The sequence below is a fragment of the Homo sapiens genome, chromosome 22 (genome assembly GCF_000001405.40).
Source record: "Homo sapiens chromosome 22, GRCh38.p14 Primary Assembly".
Lineage (NCBI taxonomy): Eukaryota > Metazoa > Chordata > Mammalia > Primates > Hominidae > Homo > Homo sapiens.
In genome coordinates, this window is record NC_000022.11 from 49820607 (window position 1) to 49831009 (window position 10403).

The following is a 10403-nucleotide window of genomic DNA, read 5'->3' on the forward strand; positions in this document are numbered from 1 at the left end:
AAACATAAAATAAAAAATAAGAAGCTTCACCCTCATCTACACAGAATTCAAATGCACAGCTGAGGCCTCCTACATGCACCCAGGGGTAGTGCCCAGGGCCTAAGAACAGGGCTGCCAGATCAGCTGCCTCTCAGACCACAGCAAGGCAGTAAACCCGGTTTCAGGCAGCAGTCAGTACTGTATTGAGAGCCTGCCCCTCACAACCACCCCAGAGGTGGGTCCAGCACCATGGTGCCAACAGGCCAGGCGCACTGGGAGCTCCTCCACTGGTGGCAAGGTGGCCTGAAGCACCAGCATCTCCTGGAGACTGGGAAACCCAGACTGCAGAGACCGCGGCCAGGAACACTCGTCCAGGTTTGTTTCTCTCTCTCTACTCGAAGCTGAAATAATAGTTTATTCCCAAGTTAGGAAAAGAACAGAACCACACAGTACGCGGTTTAGCTCCAATACATGCTTTCAAATATTTAGGTCGAGTTTTCTTCTCAATCAGCCCTGGCCACTTCAGCCCCCATGTCCTGCATGCAAACACTGCCTCCTTCAGTCCTGCCTACCCAACATCAGGAGCCAAAGAACAGAGAGCGTGCGGCCCGGCCAGGCCCGGCCTCTCCCAGAGCAGGTCATCATCTGGTACTGGCCAGGGAAGGGAGCACTTCAGACTTTTGGCTCTTCATTTTGTTAGATCACATTTTGTTTATTTTGCTTCAATTTCAGTAAAGCTGAAATTTTTAGACCTCTTATACAGAAGCTCTTAATACAAACCCTAGACTTTTTGACTCATAGGTAGAAATCCAAGCAAAACCATCTCTTCAAAGTCAGATTAATTTACAAAGACAAACACCTTGGTTTTGACAGGGTTTTCCCTGGATGGGAAGGATTATGAGCATTTTTTGTTCATTCTGTCTGAATTGACTAATTATCTGAGTATTTACAGCTCTGTGAAAAGAAACTGGACTTCACTTTGGTAAAGTAGAGTAATATTAACAAAAATCACTTAAAACTTCTTTTTTTTTTTTTGAGACACAGTTTCACTCTGTCACGCAGGCTGCGGTACAGTAGCACAATCTTAGCTCACTGCAACCTCCCAGCCTCACCGCCCGATGCAGCTCAGCCTGCATGCGTCCCACCTGTGCTGTCCTCCCCTCACATGTGGGGCAGGTCTGACACCTCAGAGGGTCCTGCTCACTGACCCCCGGCAGTCCTGGAGGGTCTGTGTGGTACTGGGGCTCTAGGCGTCTCCCCCAGCCAAGCTGCAAGCTCAGCACCAGGCTGGCTCTACCCGCCCTGTTGACCGGCAGGCCCCATCTGTGCTCACAGCTCCTCCCCTTGTTTGGCCACCCTTTCCTCAGGGCATCTGCAGCAAGTGGGGGGCACAGCACGGGAAACGGGGCCAAGGCCACAGCAGTGGATGTCCCGATGCCGGCAGTCACTGGGAAGCCCAGGCCAGAGCCCCTCGGGTTGAAAGTCATACAGAGTTCCTGCGTGGGCTTCATTCCTTCTTAAAGTTTAGTCACTGAAATTCTTAAAAATCTTCACGCACGGCTGGGCATGGTGGCTCACGCCTATAGTCCTAGCACTTTGGGATGCAGAGGCAGGCAGACTGCCTGAGCTCAGGAGTTCCAGACCACCCTGGGCAACATGGTGAAACCCCGCCTCTACTAAAAATACAAAATTAGCTGGGCATGGGAGCACACGCCTGTAGTCCCAGCTACTCAGGAGGCTGAGACACAAGAATTGCTGGAACCTGGCAGCAGAGGTTGCAGAGAGCTGAAATCGTGCCACTACACTCCAGCCTGGGCAACAGAGCAAAACCCTATTTAAAAAAAAAAAAGGCTGAGCAAGTGCTGTAATTCCAGCACTTTGGGAAGCCAAGGCGGGCAGATCACTTGAGGTCAGGCGTTTGAGACCAGCCTAGCCAACATGGTGAAACCCCGTCTCTACTTAAAAAATACAAAAATTTGTCGGGCATGGTGGCGCACGCCTGCAGTCCCAGCTACTCAGGAGTCTGAGGCAGGAGAATTGCTTGAACCCAGGAGGCGGGGGTTGCAGTGAGCTGAGATTGCGCCACTATACTCCAGCCTGGGCGACAGAGTAAAACTCCGTCTCCAAAAAAAAAAACATAGAAAACTACAGATTATTCCAAGCCTACAGACTAAAATCTTTTACAACATCTATTCCCCAAAAAGACGTGGTAAACAAGCAGAACCACACTTCAGGGGAATATTAGGAAGCTGCGCCAACTAGAAACGCAATGACCACACAGCACGGGCCCTGCAGGCTGTGCCCACGTCCTCCCAGGGTCCCACACTGCAGGCTCCTTGTGGACTCAATGCTTGGACACGCTTACCTCTGCGGGGGAATATAAGGAGCGCACACGGTCGGCAGGACCGCGCAGGGCTCAGCCAGAGCTTTCTTAGCCTTTTTTGCCTTCTTCCTGACCTTGGATGTGGACCTGACCGTTTTAACCGAGCTCTCTTTTCGACAGACGCCATTTTTCATTTCGACATCCCCGTAAATATTCAGAGGCCTCCGGGTGCAGCCTGGAGGCGTGTGGACATCACAGTAAGCGGTCTTTCTGACGGAGAAGGTGGTGCCACCGCCAGTCAGTTCCTTCACGGGCTCCATTTTCATGTACAGGCCAGCCTTCTGGGCACACGTCACATGGAATGCTGTGTAGCAGTTTGCTTTGTGGCACTGGATGCAGGCACCCACGCCCTTCTGCTTACAGAGGTAGCATGTCAGTTTCCACCGGGCTGGAGGGATGTTCCTCACCCCATCGATGGGCTCGATGAACACCGTGTTGGCAAAGCCGACCTCTGGGATCCACAGGGCACACACCACGTGACCCCAGCGGTCGTCATCTGTCTTTTTGAAGGCACCACCCTTGTTGGGGCACAGCACACAGTCGGCGGGCCGGGCCCGCGACTGCAGGCAGTGGCGGCAGAGCCACTGGCCCTCGGGGATGTAGGGCACCCCGTAGCACTCCTGGTGCACGGCCAGGTTGCACATGTCGCAGAAGAGGATCACGTTGCTGTTCTGACACTCCCCGTCCATGCAGATGCAGCACACGGCGTCCTCGTCGATCAGAGACTGCTGCTCGCCCTGCTTCTGGTTCTCGCAGTGCGACTCCTTCTCGAAGCGGTCCATCAGGAACTCAAACATGCTCTGCGACACGGCGGGGACGCAGTCGCCCTTGCGCTTCTCATTGACGATCTCCAGCCAGGCATAGTCCTCCTCGTCCATGTCATACTCCACCTCGTTGTCCAGTTCCTCGGCCGACTTCTCGATGAACTTGTAGTACACAGGAGGCCTCCTGGGGGCGGACGGAGGGCTGTACTCCACGATGCGCACCTTGGGCTCCGGGAGGGCACTGGCCGAGGCCGGCGTGCCGTGGGCGCTGGGGAGGGCCTCGTTTTTCTTTTTGACTCTGTTGTTTTTGTGACGCTTAGTTCTTAAGCAGACAGGAGGCCGCTCGCTGTTTTCCTTGTTGCTGTTGCACTCACTCATCTCTTGAGCAGTGAGGTCATCTTCCAATATGATCTCCAGGGGATCAAAAATACTGATCCTGTGCAAGCGCCCTTCAATTTCTATCTCTACCATCCTTTGAGCTTGAGCGTAGGTCAGCGTTTCTCGCGTAGGGGAGTGTTTAACACTGCATGGGGAAGAAGGATGCCTCGCTGCAGAGCCTCGATGACATCGTCCTTTCCTCCTCATTTGGTAATGATTACCTAAAATGAAGGCAAAAGTAAAGGTAATTCTACGCAGGGTGACCAAAGACTCGAGAAAACCACAAAAGCATGCTTGGACAGATCTAGCTCAGCAGCTCAAAGCCCAATCAAAGCAAAACTCACAGCTAACCTCTTTCCAAGGTGTCCAAAACCACACATCCAGGCCTGAGCGAGTCCCCAGGACCAGGGAGGGAGCAGCAGTAACAGGCAGAGAGGCAGCCTGAGGAGCCCTCCTGAGCACCTGCGTCCCTACCACCACACACCAGTCCCCTCTCAGACCACACCAACAGGCTGCGGAGACCACAGCAACGCTCCCCAAGGAGGAGGGGTCCGGCCCAGAGCCCACAGTTGCAGGACTTTCCCAGCATGCAGGCGGTCCCCCAGGAAGTCCACATACAGGGCTGGACCCCACCAGGCACAGAGGCTATGCCCACCAGACAGGCATGCTCAGTGGCTACCTGGTCCTATCGGATGCTCCCCCTAAACCACTCTTCCCCTCCCCACTACTCCCAGGAGAGCACTCCCATGAGCCCAGAGTCACCACAGTCCTTGCAGCATTCCTGCTGGGGCCAGGGGTAGGAGACAGATCACAGCCTGTCCATCCTCTATAGACAGGCCCTCCACACGCACAACACGGCACAGGGGACCAACAGGGGAGCCCTGTACTGGTCTGAGGGGACAGTCTTGGCCCCTGGGAGGCCCCAACCCCGCTTCTGCAGAGCCTTGGCAGTGACCACCATGGAAACCACCACAGGCTGAGCCAACCTGCCCCTTCCCCTCAGGGGCACTCCTCAAGCCCCACTGAGACCATGGTGCTGGCCACGTCCTCCTCCTTCCACGTCCTCCTCCTTTCTGAGAGAATCCAGACACATGCATGACGCCAAAGGGAATCTCTGTTCTCCCCGGCACACGTGAAGGCAGACGCTCCACTCAGGCTCCACAGCGAGGGGTGACCCCCAGGAACCCCTCGCTGCTTGCAGAGACCCTCACCAGGAGGGTCGCCAGCGCTGGCTCAGGTGCCTGAAGACTTGGCCACAGAGGCTTAGGAGAATCTGCTTTTCCAGAGGTAGGCAAAACCAGTGAGCTGCCTCCCATACCTCCAGCTCCTCGTGGCAGAGGCCTCTGCTGTCCCAACACCACGGACTGCGTCTATTCCTAGCTGTCCCCAGGGTGCCTGGTGTGTGGACACCTCCTGTGAAGACCACCGCCTGCTGGGCAGTGCCTCCCTCCAAAGCGCCACACTTCACTGACAGGAAGCAAAATGATTTTTCAGTGACTGACTCGCAAAACAAATATTCTCAGCTGAAGCCCAAGGCATACTCTGCATCTAGCCCTGCCACGTCAGGGACGCCTGGCCTCGGGGCCCAGGGGGATCAGGGGCACCCACAGCAGCCTTACCCTGATCTATTGGGCCTGAGAAAAAGCCCTCAGGGAGCAGGCTTCCCTCTGTGAGTCCCGAAAGGAAATCCCAGCAGACTTCAAGAGCACTTCTTAAGACAGACCCTCCAGACACTGGGTATCTTTCTCTGTATCAGACAGAAATCCTCATTGTATGTTGAAACTAGATTGCAATTACCTACAGAAAGGAATAGGAGAGAAAATGTGGTCGGCCAAACCTCAGACCCCCTGCATCTCCAGGGCCTCCAGGTACCCACTCAACCCTGGATTCCTGGGGAGCTGTCAGCACAGCCACCCCCCAGCCGGCCCCGTGAGCCCTGCAGAGGTGACACCACAGCCTGCAGAGAGCGACCCTAGTGCACCCGGGACGCCGACACGCGTCATTACTGAGGTGGGGCAGAAGCAACAGTTGGTTACTCACCAGATCAGAAACGAACCTGTCATTTTCCCCTCGACAGCAAAGTCCTGAGTCGCCCTAACGACAAGCAGCCCCTGGAAACCCACTCTCTCCCAGGGAGCCGTGAAGCTCTTCATCGCAACACTTTCTACAAGGGGAGAACTGAACCGAAGGCTTCACGGCCACAGCAGCTCCATACCCTCAACATGCAACTGGGACCCGGGGAAAGTAGGCCCTCAGCAGGGCAGGGCGACCCACGACCTCCTCTGCTTCACCGCTTCCCCCCTGGGCCGGTTCTGTCCCTGGCCCTTCCACTGGGACAAGCATTTCCACTGGGAGGGATCCGCGGGGGCACACACGTAGCTTCTCAAGGAATAATTCCCTTAAGTACATCGAAGAGCCCTGCGGGCCACAGGCGGGGAAGGCTGCCCACAAGACGGCCGCTTCCATCTTCCCACCGCCCGCCCAGGGAGAAGCCGGCCACGCGCCGGGCCTCTCGGTCAAGGCCACAGGGGCCGCGGCCGCTGAGCTGTGCGAAGTTGTGTGCAGCACACAGCACTCGGGACGGCGCTGGGCCGGCCAAACAAAAACATCCGCCGATTCCACTAACTACACAACCACCTGGCGACAGACCCTCAAAAACAGACACGGGCGGCCGCGCTTTCTGGGGAGACGGGGCCGCACCCCGCGGGGCAGGGGGTCCCGCTGCTACGGATTCTCAGAACTCCCGCGTCCGCTCACAAGAGCCGCGTTTCCCGTGAACTGCGCCTCAATCGTGTCACTCGTTTTAAAAGGCCCGGGGAAGCCTCGCGTTCGTCGCGAGGCGTCTCCCTGCAAACGCCCGGGGAGGCCGCGGTGCCGGTTCCCAAGCCCGGCCGCCGCAGGCCGCGCGGCTCCTGGGCGATCTCGGGGCGCGTCCCTGCTCACAGGGAGTTCCCGTCTTGGCAGAGCTCGGCGGGCCTGTCTGTTACATAAGGGGCGGCCCGGCCGGCTCGGCGGCTGCCCGAGGCCCGACCCGACTCGAGCGCGGACTCCGGGCAGGCGCCCGCGGCCCAGGCCGCCGAGACCCACAGCCCGACTCGGCCTCCCTCGACTCCCCGGCCTGACCTACCCGGTCTCCCCGCCCGGCCTCCCCGTCTTCCCGCCCGTCTCCCCGGCCGCCCGGCCCGACCTCCCCGGTCTCCCCGCCCGGCCTCCCCGGCATCCCGGGCTCCCGGCCCGCAGACAATGCGGAGCCGCCGCCGCCGCCGCCGCCGCCAAACATGGCGTCGGCACCACAACCCCGAGAGGCCGGGCCGAGGCGGCGGCGGCGGCCGGGCGGCCCGCGAGGCGGCGGGGAGGCCTCCCCGGCCAGGCCCCCGCCCACTCACCTTCGGGGCGCCGCGGCCGCGGGAGCCCGGCAAGCGGGCGGGCGCGGGGGCCGGCGCGGCCGAGGCGGTGCTAATGGCGCCCGCGGCTCCTCCGCCAACGGCCGCGCAGGCCGGGCCCCGCCGCCGCTCCTGGGCGCGGGCCCCTCTCGGCCGCGGCGGCTCCGGGCCCGGCAGCGGCGGCCGCGGACTCTCGGGCAGCGGCTCGCGCGGCGCGGGCTCGGGCTCGGGGCCCAGCTGGAGGCCCGGCTCGGGGGGCCCGGCCGGCGGGCGCGGGCGCGGGCGCGGGAGCGGGCGGCGGGCGGCGGGCGCGGGACGCGGGGCTGGCTCGGACTCCAGGGCCGGGTCGCTCGCTCGCTCCCCAGCGAAGCAAACAATGCGGCGAGCGCTCCGCCCGGCGCGCTGCGTGCGAGACGCGCCCCGCCCGCCGCCGCCATGACGCGCGGACTCCGCTGCCTCGGCCGCGCGCGGGGGAGGGGGCGCCGCGAGGAGCGGGGGCCAAAGGGGGCCCTGAGGCGGCGGGGACCGGGCTGGGAGTGGGGGGTCGGGAGGATGGAGAGTGGGGGCCCTTGAGTTAGGGAGGACCGGGCCAGAAGGTCCCTGAGGGGGTCAGGAGGATGGAGAATGAGGGGCCCTGAGGCAGGGGGACGTAGGCCTAGGAGTGGGGGGCCCCGAGGCAGGTGGGGAGCAGCCGGGAGTCGGGGGCTTTGAAGCAGGGGGGTACCGGCTGGGAGTGGGGGTCCCTGAGGCAGAAGGGCATTGGCCCAGGAGTGGGGTCGCTGAGGCAGGAGATGGCCCAGGAGTGGGCGGCTCTGAGGCAGGGGCTACCACCGGCCTGGAGTGGGGGGCCCACAGGCGGGGGGACGGGCCGGGAGTGGGGGTACCTGAGGCAGAAGGACATTGGCCCGGGAGTGGGGGGCCCCGAGGCAGGATGGGGGAGCAGCCGCCAGTCGGGGGCCCTGACGGGGGAACGGCCAGGAGTGGGGGTCCCTGAGGCGGGGGGGACCAGCTGAGAGTGGGAGTCCCTGAGGCAGAAGGCCATTGGCCCAGGAATGGGGGGCCCTGAGGCAGGGGGCGATTGGCCCACGAGTTGGTGGGGGCCTGAGGCAGGGGGCGATTGGCCCACGAGTGGGGGGAGGCCTGAGGCAGGGGGCGATTGGCCCATGAGTGGGGGGCCCTGAGGCAGGAGGCTATTGGTCCGGGAGTGGAGGTCCCTAAGAGGACAGAGGGGGCCCTGCGGGGGCACTGGGTGGGAGTGGAAAGGGCACTGGCCGGGACACGCGACTAGGTAGAGGTGGGTGGTGCAGCCGGGCTGGGGAGCCTCCCCTAGTGAGTGTCAGGCCCGGTGTGCAAGTAGTCCTGCCAGTGTGAGGGCCCTGCCGAGGCCGGCGTGAAGCAGATGCCCTTTAAGGTTGCAAGAAAAGGCCCCTGCGGGTGGGAGTTGAGAGGCCTGAGTCTCTGCCTTCACTTTGGCCTTTTGTGTAAACTCTAAAATTCAGTGGGGTCATAACAATTTTCACTCCAAGATTAAATCCCAAATGTTTTAAGGTGAGGCAGGAGCTCCTTGGTTTCCTTGAGAATTTGTGATCAGGACGATGGTGCTGTGGAATCCCTGGGTTCCAGCAGCACAGCCTGTGGCATCCAGGCAGGCCCCTCAGGAAGAGCAGCTGTCCACCCTGGGACAGACCGTCCCCACGGGGGCAGCCGAGCGGCCCCACTGCTCGGGGCACTGCACCAAACACCTTATTGGGAGTGGGGTGGCCTTGTTCGCCCAAGTGTCCCTGATAGGGGCCAGGCCCCACAGGCCTTTTCCTGGCCAGTCCTCATGCCCATGGCACCCAGTGTGTGGGTTGTGACGTGACGACTCAAGGGCAGGTAGGACCCCAGCCAAGGCCCCAGTGGTCAGTCCTGATCTAGGACTCCCTGCAGACACACCCTTGAGCTTAGGGGGTACAGGCCACTGGGGCCCTGACCTCTTCTGCACCAGACCCAGGAGCTTCGTGTCACCTCCATTCTACAGATGTCTGTTTACCTGTGGCCAAACAAGCAAGCTGAGCCCGAACGCTTCTCTCCTCCACCTCAGGGAAGCCAGATGGAAACCAAGCTGGAGGTTCTCCACAACACAGAGCAAAAGTAAGACACAGTCTCATGAAAGAGAAGATGAAAAGACACGAAACCCTTCACAGAAGAGGAGACGGGGACAGTGGCCTCTCAGACAATGCAGGTGATGCTCAGAGGAGTGAAGAACAAAGCCTCGAACGTAGGCATGTCACAGGGATACTCAGGAAGGCCTTCGGAGAGGATCTTCTTTAGAATTCAGACTCATCCTACAGAGGAGGGGTTGCCAAAATACTAAGAGAATTGAACCGTAACTCATACACAGTGAAACTAGCGTTCCAGTGAGACAGCAAAATAAAGGTGTCTTCACCGCCGGTTAACATCCACATTTACCACACACGCAGTCTGTAAAAGTACTAGAAGAAATACCTTAACAAAGTGAAAAGTGGACCCAAGAGTAAGACGTGGATGCCAGCAAGTAAATCAGTCTGGTCCGTTAAAAGAAAATCAACCTGAGAGAAATCCCGGATGAACTCAACATGACACATGGTAAGGCGGGGCGCAGAAGGAAGTGAAAGTGCACGAAAGCTCTTGTATTGTTTGGTTCGAGGATTTTAGAATCGATAGAAAAAAAGGTTAAAAATTTTAGCTGGGCATGGTGGCTCACACCTGTAATCCCAGCACTTTGGGAGGCCGAGGCGGGCAGACTACCTGAGGTCGGGAGTTCAAGACCAGCCTGATCAACATGGAGAAACCCCATCTCTACTAAAAATACAAAAAAAAAAAAATTAGCCGGGCGTGGCGGCGCATGCCTGTAATCCCACTACTTGGGAGGCTGAGGCAGGAGAATTGGTTGAAACTGGGAGGTGGAGGTTACAGTGAGCTGAGATGGTGCCATTGCACTCCAGCCTGGGCAACAAGAGCAAAACTCCATCTCAAAAAAACAAAAAAAAAAAGTTTTAACTATCAGAAAGTTTCCACAAGAATGGTGGAAAAAGAATTTACCACTTTCAGAACAGCTGAGGAAAAAGCGAAATGAAAAACGACAGCAGCAACAACAAAAAAAAAACAGGAATGAGTAAAAGATAAAATCATGATAAATACAGAACATAATATGAGTTGGCAGAACTAAGTTCAAACATTTGAGTAATCAGAGGAATGTGATTGGATTAAATGCATCTATTAAAAGACAACCTCTCTGAATGGAATATAAATATGGTGAAATATTCTTACAAGAAATTCACCTGAAAAATAACAGATGAAAAATAAAACGATGGGGCCAGGCACAGTGGCTCATGCCTGTAATCCCAACACTTTGGGAGACCGAGGCAGGTGCATCACCTGAGGTCAGGAGTTCAAGACCTGACCAACATAGTGAAACCCCATCTCTACTAAAAATAGAAAAATTAGCCAGGCATGGGGGCACGTGCCTGTAATCCCAGCTACTCAGGAGGCTGA

At 58.4% G+C, this 10403-nt stretch overlaps 1 protein-coding gene across 33 annotated transcripts in view, besides 4 other annotated features; it reads right to left on the minus strand.

Moving 5' to 3' along the window:
* BRD1 (bromodomain containing 1) overlaps nt 1–7267 on the minus strand; it is a 54596-nt gene extending 47329 nt beyond the window's left edge. For 16 of the 33 annotated variants that reach the window (XR_007067961.1, XR_007067962.1, XR_007067965.1 and 13 more), the window contains exon 1: nt 2345–3725. Coding sequence is in view for 24 of the 33 variants with exons in the window: in XM_047441277.1 (XP_047297233.1) it covers nt 2345–3711 (1367 nt within the window). In the remaining 9 variants the exon portion in view is untranslated. Of the gene's footprint in view, nt 1–227; nt 381–2344; nt 5980–6631; nt 6652–6890 lie in introns of those variants that run through there. The other 17 variants (NR_146334.2, NM_001394549.1, NM_001394548.1 and 14 more) reach the window with 9 other exon arrangements.
* Nucleotides 3943–4522: an enhancer, noted in NCBI's record as "H3K4me1 hESC enhancer chr22:50218197-50218776 (GRCh37/hg19 assembly coordinates)". NCBI's record gives its function as "activates a minimal SCP1, AML or CMV promoter by ChIP-STARR-seq in naive H9 embryonic stem cells {active_cell/tissue: H9 hESC(naive)}" and the evidence as "EXISTENCE:reporter gene assay evidence [ECO:0000049][PMID:30033119]".
* Nucleotides 5732–5931: an enhancer, noted in NCBI's record as "active region_19281". NCBI's record gives its function as "activates an Ori minimal core promoter by ATAC-STARR-seq in GM12878 lymphoblastoid cells {active_cell/tissue: GM12878}" and the evidence as "EXISTENCE:reporter gene assay evidence [ECO:0000049][PMID:35858748]".
* Nucleotides 6432–6601: a silencer, noted in NCBI's record as "silent region_13922". NCBI's record gives its function as "represses an Ori minimal core promoter by ATAC-STARR-seq in GM12878 lymphoblastoid cells {active_cell/tissue: GM12878}" and the evidence as "EXISTENCE:reporter gene assay evidence [ECO:0000049][PMID:35858748]".
* Nucleotides 7332–7401: a silencer, noted in NCBI's record as "silent region_13923". NCBI's record gives its function as "represses an Ori minimal core promoter by ATAC-STARR-seq in GM12878 lymphoblastoid cells {active_cell/tissue: GM12878}" and the evidence as "EXISTENCE:reporter gene assay evidence [ECO:0000049][PMID:35858748]".